Below are 18,044 nucleotides of genomic sequence, written 5' to 3'. Positions count from 1 at the left end.
ACCTTGCCCAGATAAAATCTCCTTATTTAAAACTACAGAAGATTCCTTCATCAAGCAACTAGGAATTAACCATTTCTTTTCTATTTTCACATAATTACCAACCAGTCATTCTACTATCAAAACCCTAAATCAAAACAGCATCCCCTCTGGCTTGACAGATTTCAATCTCAGGTACCCAAGATTTAAGTAGATAGTGCAGATATCTGATACAAGCTGCTGGGGTTTGAAGTCAAATTCGCTGAAGTCCTTGACTTTTAAGGCACCCATCTTGGGGCCAACCAGGTGTTGCAGGAAGTAGTTCAACATGGAGATGATGCGCTCAGCCAGGAAGGGATGCACAAAGAGTGACTTGATCTCTGGAAAAGAATCCAAAGTCTCTGAAAACTCAATCCATTAGCACTCTTTTCCTTATTAGGTATAGTTTATTTGGAGACCTCTGGGAACTACTGTTATTTTATTTCTAAACATTTTGAAGGAACTACTTTTTTAAAAAACTAAGTAATTCATTTTCACTGCAGAAAATATAGACAAGCAAAAAACCAAAACCAAACAAAAAACAGAAAAGACAAAAACTACCATCCAGAGATAAACACTGTTAACATCTTGCTAATTTAACATTTTGTCCTTCTAGCTTTTCTGTCCTTATTTACACACACACAGACATTTTTTAAACAAAAATGATCATATTTTACATATTCTGAAACTTACTGTTTTCAGTAACTATATTGCAAATACTTTATCATTTTAGTAAGTGTATGTCCCTGTGCTATCCAACATAGTAGCCACTGGCCATATGTGGCTATTAAAATAAAAAATAAAAAATCCATTCCTCAGTCACACTAGCCACATGTGGCTAGTTAAGTATGGTTCTGGACAGCCCAGATTTATAGGACATTTTCACCATCACAGAAAGTTCTATAGAATAGGGGTGATTCACATAATCTTTTTAAAAAATGAGATGGGGTCTCACTATATTGCCCAGGCTGGTCTCAAACTCCTGGGCTCAAAGTGATCCTCCTGCCTCGGCTTCCAAAGGGTTAGAGGATTACAGGCGTGAGCCACTGTGCCCAGCTGTTTTACATCATTTTTTAAAAAAATTATTTTTTATTTTTTTGAGACAGGGTCTTGCTGGTGCCTAGGCTGCAGTGCAGTGGCACGATCATGGTTCAAGGCAGTCTCAACTTCCTGGGCTCAAGTGATCCTCCTGCCTTGGCCTCCCAAAGTGCTGAGATTACAGGTGTGAGCCACTGTACCCAGTCTGTTTTACATCATTTTTAATGGCTGACTTTTCCAGTTGTAACTGCACCATAAGTTATTTATTTAATGTCTTTACTGGTGGACATTTTTACTATTTTCAGTTTTTTCCTACACTTATCAATGAACTTCATTGTGGATACATCTTGTAGACTCATCGCTTCTTTTTTTTTTTTTTGAGATAGAGTCTCATTCTGTTGCCTAGGCTGGAGCGCAGTGGCGTGATCTCTGCTCACTGCAACCTCCGCCTCCTAAGTTCAAGTGATTCTCCTACCTCAGTCTCTCAAGCAGCTGGGACTACAGGCACATGCCACCACACCTGGCTAATTTCTGTAATTTTAGTATAGACGGGGTTTCACTATGTTGGCCAGGCTGGTCTCGAACTCCTGACCTTGTGATCTGCTTGCCTCGACCTCCCAAAGTGCTGGGATTACAGGCGTGAGCCACCGTGCCTGGCCTATCGCTTCTTCTTAACAAATCTGTAAGGAACTGCTATGTTATAGGGCATGAATTCCAAAAATTAAAAAAAATTTATACATGCCAAATTTAACAAGTCAGACAGTATCATAATGCTATGTTTGGTTGGTACTGATAGTTCTTGATTTTTCAGTTTTAGTCATTATCACAGATGCCCTCAATATATAGTCAAATTTTTGCTTAAATAATTTAGTTTGTTATTAAGATTATGTAAATATTATTCACAGCAGAGCCATGTGCTGTCCTAATGAGTATATAGTTCCTTTTTAGTATAACTTTTTGCTTATTTGCTTATTTTCAGAGCCTCTTATCACTAAATCCTTTCCAAACTCTCCATTGGAATTTAAAACTCTCAACATGGTCATTTCCAGCTGCTGATTAATTTTTGGAAACATTCTTTCTGGATGTTTCCATCCTTTGCTCCAACCTGGACTGCTTGCTCTACAGGCCTGCTATGTAGTGGCCACACAAGCTCCTTTCACCGTCATCCTGGGAATCTCCTTTGCGTCTCCCTTGTGTTGAATTCCACCTTCCTCCTCCTAGGTTTACTTTCCCTCAGAAATGTGTCTCAGCTTCAAATGACACTGTTGGAAGTGCAAAGCCATTTTGATACTTAAACTATGGTAACATTACCTGACTTCTCTGGGCTATTTTAGGGTCTTGTTTTTACCATGATTTCCTAAAATTTCACAATGTCATACCTCACTGTGGGTTTTAAAAAATTCTCTGTGCAGGGGCCTTGGCAAGCCCTTTCAATTTAGAGGCTGTCTTTGAGTCTTGGGGATTTTTTGGTATCTTTGATAACTTCCTCCCCTCCATTTTTCGCTTTTGAGACTTCCTAGATCCATCCTTTTGTTTTCTTATCCTTTCTCTTCTAATTTCCATCTTTTTCCTTCTGTTCTACGTTCATAGAAGAGTTCCTTGAATTTATATCTTCTAACTCCTTTACTGAATATTTAACATTTCCGAGGTAAAAATTTCAATATCCAAGGGCTCTTTCTTATTCTTCAAATAATCTCTTTCATTGCCTCTTTGTTCTTGTTTTGTGGCTGCTGTATCTTCTCTTATCCCTCTGAGATTAAAAAGTTTTTTTAAAAAGTTTTTACAAAGTTTTCACCTATTTGTTTTTCACATTAGAGGATTTCCTCAAATGTCTGGTGATTACTGATTGTCATATCACATTTAGCTGAGACATTAAAAATGATAATTTCAGTATGTAATCAGTATAAAAATGGACAGATTTCACATTTTAACACTAAGTCTTGTACTTATAGCACATCTCAATTCAGACCAGCTACATTTTAAATCCTTGAAAGCCACACGTTGCAAGTGGCTACTGAATTGGACAGTGGAGCTATAGAAGGAGTAGAGATAAATTTCTGTTAGATCCACCATATTTAACCAGGATTCAAGCGTATTTCTCAGATTAACAAACATATATGTATATATGTGTGTGTACAGACACACATATATTTATATGGCTAACTTGTCCTCAAGAAAGATTTTACCACCTTATGCTCTCTGGCAGCTGTGTGAGGGTGACCATTTCCTCACTTCCATGTCAACAATGGGCATCATCATTCTTTTTGAAGCTTCTCAAGTGATTCGTTTCCCTTCCAGATGTGGAGGATACTGTCACCAGGGTCTGAATTCTTAGTTTCAGCTGGGCTGATCCCCCAAGTGAAGCTGATCTTGGCCATTACTTTTTTGGGGGGAAGCAGTACTTCATGTCCTTACCTGATGTGAGAAAGGCAAGGGTACCGATTGTTTCATTGGACATGATGTTATGGAAACGTGCCAGCTGTCCAAACATCTGTAGGCCAGCCTCCTTTTCTCGGCGGGCTTCTGGAGTCAGACTATCCCATTCACCTCGATCCTTCTCAATTTGCTGAATCTTTATCTTGCTCAAATACTGCAGAAACCAGAGATGGGATATATCAGAGAAGAAAGGTGCAGTTGAAGGGACGTGACATTTAAGAGGTCCTATTCAAAATCCAGTCAACTAAGCTGGGAAAACGAGGGACCATGTAAAAGACATGAGCCTTTATTTCTCAGCATAAGGCTGAAGCTCAAAAGAACTTTCAGGAAAAAAAGAAATTGTGGCTTCATACAGATTTGTTTCAGCTTGGGTAGATTCACAGGTAATTCCCCTAGAAATAGTATAGCATTGTGAAATGCAAAGAAGGATGAATAGTTTAATATATGAAACCCAGGCCAAGAAACAAAAAACTAAAAAACCCCACACTATAGTGAAAAAACAATGAATCCTTCCTGAAAGATGAAAACAAATCCCCCCTGCCAAATTGCTTACAAAAAAATCAAAGCTCTATCACATATGCAAGATGCGTGGAAGAACCATAATTATTTAAAACTCTCTACCTCACGTCATCCTTCCTGTTGTAGCAAACAACTTGTTAAACTTACAGTCTCATGAAAATACCATCTGCTTCATGCTTTGTGTCACACACCTCTTGCTTAAAAGGGCCTGTTTGTAACAGGACCTATTCTCGCTTTTGAAGAAAACCTATCTTAAATCCTAAAGCGTAGGATTATGAAGAAATCAGATCAAACCTTTCTCACAAATTAAACACAAGCTACTCAGGGGATTGCTGATCATAAGGAGGAGCTCATGACTGTCTAAAGGCTACCCTCAGGATTTACCTGCTTCATCTCCCTTTAGGTCAGTGCCTTGTCCATCCTATACCCATCACAGGTAAGGGAAGTTTTGCTCTACAGACAGCCAAGTTTTTATGGGAGAAGTAAGCAGTTCCACCAGGGAAGGTTAAGGAAATAATACACTGAAGGAGCTGAGAGGCACCCAGCTGCATTTTATACTTTGTGAAACCTTTGTTTCACCATATAGCTAAGAATTTAGAAGGCAGTGGAAATATGAGAAGTATTGACAACTTGGAGCCTTTATATGAAAAAATAACCCAAATCAGAGATTTTCTTTCAAGTAGTGGTGCAAAAATCAGAATCTTTTAGGAAAGTGGGTTAAAAATCACTGTCTTAGTGAGATATTTTACTGACATGTTGGGATTAAAAGGGTTGAAAGTCACTGACCAAAAGCAAGCTCCTCTGATTTCTTTCTGTAGTGCTGGCCTGATGAATTACTCCTGCCAGTACAACTTAGTTTGGCTTCACCATATGGTATTTTTGACTCTGCCAAAATGTCCATCTCATGATGCTTCAATGACCCTTGATCTTGGTCTCTAATGGAATGAACTAGAAAGCTCTATAATGACAAGCTTGGTGGTACACTACTAATCACAAATTTTTGGTGTTCAAGTCTGGTACTAGGGGCATAAGGACTGCTCTATTATGATTAAAAGGTAAAATGTATGTACTGCTGATGATTTGATGGTATGGAGAAGTTAAATCTTTTTTTTTTTTTTTTTTTTTACCTGTATGGCTTCATCCAAAAGGAAGATGGCATCATTCATTAGCAGGTTAAGAAAGCGGAGGAAAAGTGGGGGATTCATGGCTTCTAAATTCTTAGAGGCATAGTCAGCCAAATCCTGTAAGTCCCAGCCCACAAGAAAACCATTTTAGTACTGAATTACAACTCATTAGGGCTTATATAAAGCAACAGGTTTCATCAAAAACTCTCTCACCTTAATGCTCTCCCGATAGGTATCTGTCCCCCACATGTATCTTAGGATAGGATACATGGGACGGCGGTAATTAAACTTCTGTTCAAATTGATGGGGGTCTCCTGGAGTAAGGCAAGAGCGAAATATCAGCAAAGGCGGTGCCATAAGAGGAAGAGTTTATGCTTATGTGTAGCCATTTGCTTTGTAGTCATTTGCTTTTGAGTGTGTTAAGGCTACTAACAAAATCTGCCCTGGAGTTTCTAAAGGCCTAGAGTTATCGCCAAGTGTTTGCTCATTTCCTTACTGATGAAGTAAGGGGGAGACAGAGATAAAGGATACCTTACTCTGCAAGAGACAAGTACCAAGCTGTAAAATAAAAGTTAAGGGAAACAAATGTTTCCATATCCAAACATGAGTACTTCTCAGGCTTTAAATGAGGGCTCAGGGCTGGCCATTATGGCAGTGAAAGCCATGTGCAGGACGGGACACTAAGCAATTCCCACATTCTTCACAGACAATATCCCAAACTGTGTAGCCAACAGGTTCTTGATTACTCTGAAAAATCAGGTCAGGAGCTAAAAATCTGAGGCTTATACTGCTTTTGAAATACCAAAGGTATTACTAGAGCTCCACAGGCTGGGTCATAATAAAGGAAGAGTGTAGGATTTGGAGTCAAAAGACCTACGTTTTCATTCTGGCTCTGCTTAATCTAAGTCTCTTAATCTTCTTCAGCTTCCACTTCCTCAGAAATAAAACAGAAATTGTACTCCATTACAACACTTTGGTTGTATGGTCACATAACGAGATAACTGCAATGATTTATTATACAATTTCTTATGTATTATAAAGATTTACATGCATTATTTCACTTAATCATCACTTTGACCCATTTTATAGATGAGGAAACTAAGGTTGATAGGTGAGCGAATTAAAAAAAACCAGAATCCAAATATGGAAAGGCGGCCAGTAAAATGTTAAATGCCTCTTTAAATGTTAGTTGTATTTATCATTGGATGGTAGATATCCCTTTAAAAAATGGTCTTCAACAACTTCTTAACATATCTTATTTACTGATTGAGACAGGGTACTGTTTAAACAAACACAGGGGCTCAGGGTTAGATAGAGAGGGAATGTTGCCTGCTGGTTTTTTTTTTTTTTTTTTTTTTTTGAGAGGGATTTCTTGCTCTGTCATCCAGGCTGGAGTGGTGCGATCTCAGCTCACTGCCACCTCTGCCTCCCGAATTCAAGCAATTCTCGTGCCTCTGCCTCCTAAGTAGCTGGGATTACAGGCACCTGCCACCATGCCTGGGTAATTTTTGTATTTTTGTAGAGAATGGGTTTCACCATGTTGGCCAGGCTGGTCTCAAACTCAGGAGCTCAAGTGATCTGCCTACTTTGGCCTCCCAAAACGCTGGGATTACAAGCATGAGCCACTGTGCCTGTCCGCCTGCTGGTATTTTTAATCGAACCATTAGACTGTTGGAGAGTTAGATAGTCTGGTTAAGATAAAAGAATCTCTCAACCAATACACTGCCTCTTTATGCACTATTCTGTAATTTTAAGGCAGAGAAATATAAAGACCCAAATAGTCTAATTTGAGTCTGATTTGATGATGCAACATAATAAGGGTGTTGAATATGTAGATTTCTTTAGGTGACACAGACCTGATTCTACCACTTGGTAGTTTGTTATGACATGGACAAACTGATCTTTTGGGCAGTCATGTCTTCATATGTAAAACAAGAATAATTAAAAAATAAAAAATAAATAAAACAGGGATAATAGAGTGAAACTTTTCCAATGGTGACAATGGGATAATGTTAAAAAAAAAAAAAAAGCACTTATCATCAAGCCTGGCATATAGTAGGTATTCAATAAGTAATGGCTTGACATTTCTTTGATATCCAAATACGGATCAAACTATGAAACTCCACTGGTATCAGCTTCCCAGTTCTGGGCTCAGCTTCATGACTGCTTTACCTGTAAATTCGATGTCCACAAAAACCTTGATTAGAGCCTCTGCAAGTTGGGGTGCATACTGAAAGTTGCAGAACACACGTTTCCGGTGGAACACACTGGATACCAAGGGATTTGGGGTCTGATCCAGGTGGGGCATCACTGCTTCCAACACCTCTGCTAGTTTGGCCCTCAGGTGGGGATTCTTCATTCTGCAAAATGGGCAAAAAGCAAGATGAGCAGATAAGCTTAACTCCAAATTTATGACTCTGTTCTCTCCACATAAGAATCAAAATCCACCCTAAACCATATTACAGGAAAAAAAAGGATCCACTTCTGCAGTTTTAAGTTTGTCAGTTTCTTGGTGCGGCTGGGCGGGGGGTGGGGTGGTGATGCAGGGTACATCATTTAACTCTTGAGTTGACAGCTTACCAAATATGACGGTGAGCACTTAAGTTTCTATTGAATGCTTAGCCATTGTTTACTTCTCTGTAATAATGCATTATTTACTGCTTCCTATTCTCTGACAGTTTCATGTGGAATAAACTTGCCTTTTCAAGCTTTCTGAGGGTAAAGACTAGAATATAATTATGCTACATTACCCATGACGCATACAGTGTATGCATAATACTTGTTGACTTATGACTTCTCATTAGGTATGCTCAGCTCAGTGAAGAAATGGCTTCTCTCTACTTATCACTGATACGGCTCAGGGAATTGTGGGTCATTCTCTTCATTGTGCAGCAAATCTTCACTTTTGTACACAGAGTTTCCACTTCCTTTAGCCTATGCATCAAAAAAATCAGGGAAGCAATTCTACAAGTCACAGTATCTTCCTTTGGAAAAGAGGACTAGAAGCTATGAGTGAGAAAACTTGAAATGAGAAATAACATTGACTTAAGTTTACTGCTCATCCAACTCAGAATAGCAAGAATAAGCTTTATTATCATATAATTATTAGAAGATCATTAGCACCTGGCTGCCACTGTTAAGTTTCTGGCATTAGGTTAACTACTTTAACCAGGGACTGGCAGTGGACTTCCCATAAGATACTTATATGCAGGATTAAATTCTCTGTGGACAAAGTCCTTTGTTTATTATACCTCTCAACAGTGGGATTTCTGGCTACCCATATGGATGGTCAGGTGATTCCTTAATGTTACCATAACTTCTGAAGGCAACCCCTTATGATTCAGGCTTGTTTATTTCTTGGTTTAGAAGTCTTCTGAATGTTTTACAGCCTAAACAGTGACAGAACCAAGCTTTCAGCACTTCACCTTTCTATGCTTCCAGTGAAAATGGTGATAAAGTGAAGGACATGCTCCAGGGAATCTGCTGATGTCTCCAAAATGTCATCGGCAAAGCGGCGGAGAAAAATGAGAAAATCACCCAGGTTATCTGCAAAAAATTCTGAAAAAGAAAATATTCACTGGAATTAGCCAAACATCTGTATATCTGTACTAATAAACAACATTTAAATTCCTTTCACCCTACTTAATGAAGGTTAAAAAAAACCCTAAATGTTTTGTTGGTACTAGAGATGGTCGTTAAGTCAATAAATGTAAAATCTCCTTTAAATGTAAGTCAATTTAAATTTTTATTCAAGTAAATATATGAACAGTAATGACACAAAATGTTAACACACCAGTATACTAATATATACATTTTTACTCTCAAGGTTAACTGTGGTTTAAACCCTTCAGATGTGTGAGGACTCTCTAATAAAGATTAATATGTTAGGTGACTGTGGTAGCCAGACTCCAGGATGGTCCTCCAATGATCATTGCCTTTTGGTATTCATGACCTTATGCAGTCCCCTCCCACATTCACTCTTTCAGAGTAGAAGATAAACTCTGAGGCATACAGCAGATGTGATAGTATGTCATTTCCAAGATTAGGGTATAAAAGCTTACAGTCTCCATTTTGGTCACTTGCTCTGGGGGAAGCCAGCTGCCATATCATGAGTAGTATTTAGAAGACACATACATGGCCTAGAAAAGAAGCTGCTGGCCAATAGCACAAGCAACTGAGGCCTGTCAACAACCACATGACTGGGCTTGTAAGTGGATCCTCCAGCCCTAGCAGAGTCCTCAGATTCCTAAGGCCCTGATTGACAGCTTGGCTATATAACTTCCTGAGGAACTCTGAGTCAGAACAATGCAGGTGAGTGAGCTGTTTGCAGTTGTTGTTGTTATTTTATTAATTAATTAATTTATTTTCTGAGACAGGGTCCTGCTGTCACCCAGGCTGGAGTACAGTAGTGCAATTATGGCTCACTGTGGCCTCAACTTCCTGGGCTCAAGCGATTCTCTCACTTCAGCCTCCTGAGTAGCTGGAACTACAAGTGTGCACCACCATGCCTGGCTAATTTTTTATTTTTTGTAGAGATAGGGTCTCTCTATGTTGCCCAGGCCAATCTTGAACTCCTGGGCTCAAGTAATCATCCTGTTTCGGCCTCCCAAAGTGCTGGGATTACAGGCGTGCACCATCATACCCAGTCTGTAGTTTTAAGCTGCTATGTTTTGGGGTAATCTGTTACTCAGCATGATATGGCCAATACAATGGTTAAGAACACATAACCTGATTAGATTGACAACACCTGCCCACCCCTCAATGACTCACTGACACACACACACACACACACACACACACACACACACACACACGCACACACACACACACACTCTTTCCCTTCTGAGTTAACCAGCAGGAGCTAATTTTTTTTCTACAAAAAGGACAGGGAAAGTTAGATGAATGTGTAAGTTGAACAAATATTAATGATAGAAACTAACAGCTCTGAAAACTCTGATTACACTTAATCCTTTGAAGATGATTTTCTGATATGCATAGCAGGGGGACACAAGGTTGAGGGAACAAACTGTTAGTCCCCTAATACTTTGACCAGTAGATATTATCTAAGTTTGAGTTGTTTCTCCAAAAACAACTGAATGATAACGAAGAAAGGGTATTTTGAGGATTAAACTTCCAAAGTGACCCACTTAAACTCAGAAGGCTATAAACAGGACATTCCCAAGGGAGAGCCTGCTTACCTGGCACATAAGCCAAAGAGCTGTAGCCATCTGGCAAAGGAAAGGTTAGCTCTATTGGCTGTGAGCCCTCATTGCCTATGGCCAGTTGAACCAGTAGAACAGCCATGGACACCTGCAAGTTTAGGCAGTTTTGTAGCATTTGTGGCTCTGTCATGGCAGTCTTGGTAGAAAGATAGATGGTCATCAGTCGTTCAAACTGCTCACGAAGATTGTCAGCAGCAGGGCTAGAACTTTGCTGAGCATCCCGCCAGGCAACCTGCAGCCGATGCAGATTTTGGTTGATTTTTACCATCTGATCATGCAACCTGCCCCCAAGAAAGCAGAAGAGACTGGGTCAGGGAAAACAGAAAGTCACAAAAAAACAAATCCTCAATTATTTATCTAGCCTTCTCTTTAAGGATAGTAGGGAGTTGCAGTTGCAATGACACAGAAGGCACTCACAAAAGTTTTTGACAGGACACAGGCAGGGTGCACAGCAATGGGAAAATGCTGCCAAGTATTCAACATAATTGAAGCTAATTGCAAATAGCAGCCTTCAGTTGAAATGCACTATCCAAAGAAAGGCAGCTTGGTTGAGTAGGGTGTAGAATGGGTTGTTATTACATAAAATAATTATTAGGCAAAGTACAAGAAGGCCAGCAGGATAGTTTTACATCACACAAGGGCAATGATCATACTTTGATGCAATGATCATACTTTGATGGGGTTATATGGATAGTCTTTCTTTGGTTAGTAGAAAACTAAGCTGGTGAAAAGGGACTCTAGATTAGTAATGACCACATATAAACTAGTAGCCACCTGAGATGCAATCTAAGAGCAGCTTCCAGCTCTCTGTTGTTCAATATTAAATTAAATTATTCTTCAGAAAAGGTCAGCCTAATATTCTCTACTGAAAGGAAGACACATAATTCAAAGTTATGGATAATAGTCCAAAATCATTTCCTTTGGCCCTGTAGATAATGTCTTGAGCTAGCTAATATTGGGAAACTAGATGATATTCATTTTTTGTTTGAATCTAGGCAGCTGAGCAGCTTAAGCACATGCTGAACTTTTATCTACTGTCTTATTTAAAATGTCTATGATGGAGATTTCTCTCTAAAGACATAATTTCCTTCTTCCGGCAATGTGTTGACTGAGTAGTTTTGAAAAATGCTCTGCATCAATTCAGGTATCTTGAGAAGGCATTAAAAATTGCTATTCTTAGTGTCCCTTTCTATGACTGAGTTGCTGTTTTCTTCCTCTACTTATACCTGTCATAATCAGCTAAATCAGAGGAAAACAAATTACAGAATAATGAATAGCCAGAACCAGAACTGTTTTTGGAAGTCATACATTCTAGTTCTAAAATCTTAACATTTCTAGAATCTTCTTTATCTAATGTCTTTTGTGGTCCTATTGATCTCATTAGCTCCCTTATAAACATTTCCTTAATATTTGCCACTTTTGTCTCTATCTGTAGAGTAGAACTTGGTCTTTTTCTTTTTTTTAATTAATTTTTTTTTTTGAGACAGATTCTCGCCCTGTCGCCTAGGCTGGAGTGCAGTGACACCATCTCGGCTCACTGCAACCTCCGCCTCCCAGGTTCAAGCGATTCTCCTTCTTCAACCTCCCGAGTAGCTGGGACTACAGGCGCGTACCACCAAGCTGGGCTAATTTTTTGTATTTTTAGTAGAGACGGGGTTTCACCATGTTAGCTAGGACGGTCTTGATCTCCTGACCTTGTGATCTGCCTGCCTCAGCCTCCCAAAGTGCTGGGATTATAGGCATGAGCCACTGCGCCCGGCTGAACTTCATCTTTTATCACCAGGAGTAGTAATGAAATTTTTTTTTTTTTTTTTGAGACAGGGTTTCACTATGTTGCCCAGGCTGGAGTGCAGTGGCGCAATCTCGGCTCACTGCAGTCTCAACATCCCAGGCTCAAGAGATCCTCCCACCTCAGCCTCGTGAGTAGCTGACACTACAGGCACACGCCACCATGCCCAGCTAATTTTTGTATATTTTGTAGAGACGGGGTTTTGCCATGTTGCCCAGGCTGGTCTCAAACTCCTGGGCTCAAGTGATCTGCCTGCCTCGGCCTCCCAAAGTGCAAAGGATTACAGGCATGAGCCACCACACCCGGCCAGTAATGAAAATTTAAGAGCAGAAAGTGCAATATAAAATGAAAACAATTCCACTTTCCCAGATCACAATAGGAAGACAGTGATTTAATTTTTAAAGTTTAACAGGTCAAAAGTTAAAAAACAGGCCAGGCACAGTGGCTCATGCCTGTAATCCCAGCACTTTGGGAGGCCAAGGTGGTGGATCACCTGAGGTCAGGAGTTCGAGACCAGCCTGGCCAACACAGCGAAACCCCATCTCTACTAAAAAAATACAAAATCAGCTGGGCATGGTGGTGCATGCCTGTAATCCCAGCTACTTGGGAGGATGAGGCAGAAGAATTGCTTGAACCCAGGAGGCGGAGGTTGCAGTGAGCAGAGAATGTGCCACTGTACTCCAGCCAAGGTGACAAGAGCGAAAATCCATTTCAACAACAACGACAACGATAAAAGTTAAAAACAAATTTAAGGAATCTGGACAAAGCTGATTCATGAAACACAAGTAAATTCATACAATGCCCCTTTTCTATTAGATTCTAATGTGAACCTTTAGAATAAGCTCAGATTATATCTGTAAGACTCTTCCTCTCTTTTTTTTTTAAGAAACAGGTTATCACTCTGTCACCCAGGATGGAGTACAGTTGCACAATCATAGCTCACTGTGGCCTCCAACTCTTCGGCTAGAGCAATCCTCCTGCCTCAGCCTCTGAAGCAGCTAAGACCACAAGCATATGCCACCATGCCTGGCTAATTTTTTTTTTTTGGTAGAGATGGGGGTCTCACTTTCTTGCCCAGGTTGGTGGTCTTAAACTTCTGGCCTCAAGCAATCCTTCTGCCTTGGCCTCCCAAAATCCTGAGATTAAAGATGTGAGCTACTGTGCCTGGCCAAAGACTCAATTTCTACCTTCTAGTTATCAACACAACTAAACTGTTTTTTCCTAATGACATCAGAGGAGTTACCTGTGAAATCCCAAGTACAAGGTGTACTCTGTCAGAGCAAGGTTCTCTGTTACAAGGTTGTAGTTCTGTGGAAACTTCGGCTCCTGCACAGCTGGGATCAAACAGGTTTCTTTGTCCAAACCTCAAAGAAGTTAAAAAAAAAAAAGAGGGTAAATGTCTTGGTCTCCAGTCTCCTCTTACACTCATTCAATTTCCATACTGTTAGCAGTGATATCTTCTTAAAAACATATCTTGTCATATTAGTTCTTTGTCTGAATATATCTTTTGGTTTCTCACCGTCTACAGAAATACAGTTAAATCTTTTTCATGAAATCACCAAAAATTAAAAGGAATACTACTATAGATTGTTTCAAGTGATAGGCAATAGATCATTTGTATTTATTTTGTGCTTTTCTGAATTTGATTATTTGCTTTTGAGCAGTTATCATGTTTACAATTAGAATTATAAAACTGGAATGAAATATACCAAAATTAAGAGTGATTTCACTTTGAATGGTAGGACTGTGAGTCATTTATTTTCTCTTCATTTCTCTGTACTGTTTTCTCCAATCCAGCCCCACCTATCTTCCTCCCTTGATCCATTTCCTCCCCAACTCAACCCCATCTACCCCTTGCCCTAGCCACATTGAGCCTCTCACCATTCCTTAGTCAAGATTTTCCATAGCTTTGTACCTTTACACTTGCTTTTCTCTCTGTATAAAGGGACCCTCTTGCTTCTTTGCCTGGTAAAACCTAACTTGTCTCTCAAGACTCAGCTATGAAGACCTCCAACTTCTGCAGAATTGATTATTTACTCCCTCCTCTGTGCTCCCATAGCTTAGCCCTATACCATATTATAATTATCAGTTAATATATCTGCCTTCTGGAGCCTGAGTTCAAAAAGGATGAGGACTCTGCTTTATTCATTTTTATAAACTATGAATGAATGAATATGCAAGGCTGCCAAATCCAGAGAGAAGGTCTCACTAAAGTACAACATTTAAAAGCTACCAGGTGTTTTTTTTTTTCTCTCAAACATCTGTCTTTTAAAAATTCTGGCTGGGCGTGGTGGCTCACGCCTGTAATCCCAGCACTTTGAGAGGCTGAGGCGGATGGATCATGAGGTCAAGAGATCGAGACTATCCTGGCCAACATGGTGAAACTCCGTCTCTATTAAAAATACACAAAATTAGCTGGGCGTGGTGGCGCGTGCCTGTAGTCCCAGCTACTCGGGAGGCTGAGGCAGGAGAATCGCTGGAACACGGGAGGCAGAGATTGCGGTGAGCCAAGATAGCGTCACTGCACTACAGCCTGAGTGACAGAGTAAGACTCCATCTCAAAAAAAAAGAAAAAAAAATCGAAATAGCTCGTTTCTGCCTCATCTTTTTTTGAGAAAGGAACTCTGTGAAAAAGGATAAGGGAGTGAATGCTTTACACGTTACACACACACACACACACAGTTTTGAGAAGCCTGGTTCTCTCCTACCTCTCATGTGTACATTTTTAATTTTTCGTTCTTCATCATTCAACTCCTTGAGGGCACAGTATGTGGGATTAAAGGTGAGGAGCCGAGAGGATCTGGGTTTGCAAAATGGCTGGCATAGCTTCAGGAGAGCAGCACCCAGATTCAGAAAGAAAGCATCTGAGGCATACATTTGGAAAAAGATTTCTGGCATCTGATTGGCCCAAATCTTGGTGCGGCCTGCATTTGCATGCAAACAGTTTCCAAGCCAGGACAAGATACAGTGTTTGGTTTCTGGAGAGAGCTGGAGTAAGTTCTTCAGCATCTGGTAGATCTTTTCGTGGAACTGAGCCATGAACTGTTCAACCAGAAAACACAACCACAGAACGTTTCACAATCCTAATAGTTTTTATTCCCAAACCTTAGCAACTGGCAGTTTCCAAAAATATGCTAATCCTAATCTTTCCCCTCACTCTCTGTGCCTCATCCCCTAATTTGATTTTAAAATATATTTCTGGGCACTTATAAGAGATTTTCTGATCAGCTGCCCAACTGCAGATGGCATTACACGGTATTAGAGCACAGGTCTGTAAATTTTTTCTGCAAAGGGCTAGACAATAAGGATTTCTGGCATTACTTGCCATACAGTGTCTGTAGCAATTATTCAACTCTATCACTGTAGTATGAATTCAAACCAGAAACAATACATATACTAATGCGCATGGCTATGTTCAATAAACCTTTATTTACAAAAACAGGTGGCAGGCCAGATTTGGCCACTGCTAGTTTGCCATGCCTTGCCTTAGAGAGTTGTAATGATTAATGATTAGGGGACTTAAACTATCCCCAATTCAATCATTCAATGCCTCATGTTGGCCAGACCTCTACTATAATTTATGTGAAGAAGCCCAAAGAGAGGGCATAGGTGGAGACACGAAAAGGAAGAAAAACTGGGTTTATAAGCTAGAGTTCAGTCAAAAGATTTTCAGAGCTAAAGTTATAGCTCAGTGAGAAAAATGAGGGTTGGGGAGAAGTAGCTGTAGCAGTGCTACAGCAAAGGGTAATGAGTAGCAGCAGCTCATTCTTACCCCACACGTGCTGTTCTTAGCATATGCTACAAAGAGGGGATTTTTTTTTTTTGAGACAGAGTCTTCTTCTGTCATCCAGGCCGGAGCGTGATGATGCAATCATGGCTTACTGAAGTCTTGACCTCCCAGGCTCAAGTGATCCTCCCACCTCAGCCTCCCGAGTAGGTGGGACTACAGATGCTTGCCACCATGCCCACCTAAGTTTTGTATTTTTTTGTAGACATGGGGGTCTCACTGTGTTGCCTAGGCTGGTTTCAAATTGAACTCCTGGGCTCAAGCGATCCTCCCACCTTGGCCTCCCAAAGTGCCGGGATTACAGGCTTGAGCTACCATGCCCAGTTTTAATTTATTTATGTGATGTAAAAGCCAACTAGATCAATTTGCTTTCCCAGAGAGGCTTGAGCAGCCTTATCTGTATCTGCTTTCTGAGAAAACTCTTTTAAGATCAGGGGGCTGGGATACCCTGGTAAACAGTTCCACCTGATGGATGTTGGCCTCCTGTACTTTGATCTCCTGGGGGCTGGAACGAGATGGATTCAAAAAGTAGCCATGATTTTCTACAACACCCGGAGTCTTTAATAAGCAGGAGATACTCAGAATTACTCCCAGCAAGGTCTTCTGGTACATTTGCCCATTGGTAGGGTCCTTGGGCTGAATGTATTCTACAAAAACCTGTAAGAGAAGACAAGTTCTGCTTATTCATCTTCATGGTGAGATAAGGTGATGGGGTGGGAGGGCCTCAAAACAGTTAAGTTGATACAACAACCAAGCTATCTTTTTCTTATTTTATAGGTAGTATTATAGTGTCTTCAGGATAGGGAAGCATCATGTATTACACATCTAGCTCAACTGAATACATATCATCTTTCAGACCTACCTTTGCCATATCTTTTTGCCTAGTGAAATAGAGAAGAATATCCAGATATGCATACAAAAGGATCTGACAGAGCTCTAGATCTTTTATTCGGCCCAATAAAATATCAAACACTGGAATCATGACTTCTGGAAATGTTCTAACTTCCTCATCCAATATCAAGGCTTCAATGACCTCTTCCAGAAACTCAGTTACATCTTCAAAATCTAACAGAAGACAAATGAGAGAGAAAGGAGGGCACAAGAATTTTTATATGCCTTTACACACTAGCTCTTTACTTTCAATAATTCTTTTTTTTTTTTTTTTAGAGCTGGGGGTCTTGTTTTTTTGCTCAGCCTGGAGTGTAGTGGCTATTCACAGGTGTGATTATAGCACACTACAGCCTCAAACTCCTGGGCTCAAGGGATCCTTCTGCCTCAGCCTCCAGAGTAGATGGGACTACAGGGGTGTGCTACCATGCCCAGCTTTATTCTATTGGTACTCAACCTCAAAGATCAAGATGTGAGCCCTCCTCCTTAATTTATACCAGAACCATAATGGCTCTGAGACTTTCTAATGCAATTAGTGAAATTTTAAATCTGAAAATCAAAATGTAGAAGCTTACAGATCTTGTTCATGTACTCACGGGCTCCCTGGATGGCTTCTAACATCAAATCTACCAGTTGCTCATGGATGTTTTGGTCAACATAGATCTCTGGGGTGAGAAGAACTGTTCGGGTATTGGACACAGTGAGGTTTCTGCACTGCACTGCAAAGGGTAGCAGGTTCTCTGGAACTTTGGTAATCTGCAAACAGCATGAAGAAAAGAGGGAATAGTCTAACTCTGTAATCTGGAACGAAAGTAGACATAGTGAATACAATAGAAGAGACATACTGGTCTCCTGTGGATGCTTGAAAATTAATTAGAGATTCCTTCCTTGGCTTAAGGAATCATCTATCTGCCTATTTAAAATTCCAAACCTGGAAATATCCGGCTTAGCCTACTCTAATATTTACATCTCAGTGGAAATGAATTCATGAGCCCTTTTCTGATTTTTGAGACAGAGTCTCGCTCTGTCACCCAGGCTGGAGTGCAGTGGTGTGATCTCAGCTCACTGCAACCTCCACCTCCCAGGTTCAAGTGATTCTCCTGCCTCAGCCTCCTGAGTAGCTGGGATTATAAATGTGTGCCACCATGCCCGGCTAATTTTTGTATTTTCAGTAAAGGTTTTGCCATGTTGGCCAGGCTGGTCTCGAACTCCTGGCCTCATGTGAT

At 40.3% G+C, this 18,044-nt stretch overlaps 1 protein-coding gene and 1 long non-coding RNA gene across 4 annotated transcripts in view; one reads left to right on the top strand and one right to left on the bottom strand.

Annotated features, from left to right (window-relative positions):
* LOC100131626 (uncharacterized) overlaps positions 1–8,861 on the top strand; it is a 37,596-nt gene extending 28,735 nt beyond the window's left edge. The window contains exon 4 of one of the 2 annotated variants that reach the window (NR_046370.1): positions 8,574–8,861. This is a non-coding gene — a long non-coding RNA (uncharacterized LOC100131626). Of the gene's footprint in view, positions 1–8,520 lie in introns of both variants that reach the window. The other variant, NR_046369.1, reaches the window with a different exon arrangement.
* Positions 1–18,044, bottom strand: part of UBE4A (ubiquitination factor E4A) — a 39,612-nt gene that overhangs the window by 9,131 nt on the left and 12,437 nt on the right. The window contains exons 6-17 of one of the 2 annotated variants that reach the window (NM_004788.4): positions 17,394–17,574; positions 16,793–16,995; positions 16,396–16,587; positions 14,852–15,185; positions 13,387–13,507; positions 10,331–10,635; positions 8,558–8,690; positions 7,305–7,492; positions 5,346–5,446; positions 5,136–5,249; positions 3,469–3,643; positions 176–356 (exon numbers count right to left, since the gene is read on the bottom strand). In NM_004788.4, the coding sequence (NP_004779.2) occupies positions 176–356; positions 3,469–3,643; positions 5,136–5,249; positions 5,346–5,446; positions 7,305–7,492; positions 8,558–8,690; positions 10,331–10,635; positions 13,387–13,507; positions 14,852–15,185; positions 16,396–16,587; positions 16,793–16,995; positions 17,394–17,574 (2,228 nt within the window). The remainder of the gene's footprint in view (positions 1–175; positions 357–3,468; positions 3,644–5,135; positions 5,250–5,345; positions 5,447–7,304; positions 7,493–8,557; positions 8,691–10,330; positions 10,636–13,386; positions 13,508–14,851; positions 15,186–16,395; positions 16,588–16,792; positions 16,996–17,393; positions 17,575–18,044) is intronic. The other variant, NM_001204077.2, reaches the window with a different exon arrangement.

Source organism: Homo sapiens, chromosome 11 (assembly GCF_000001405.40).
Source record: "Homo sapiens chromosome 11, GRCh38.p14 Primary Assembly".
NCBI lineage: Eukaryota > Metazoa > Chordata > Mammalia > Primates > Hominidae > Homo > Homo sapiens.
This window is presented reverse-complemented; position numbering and strand designations above follow the sequence as displayed.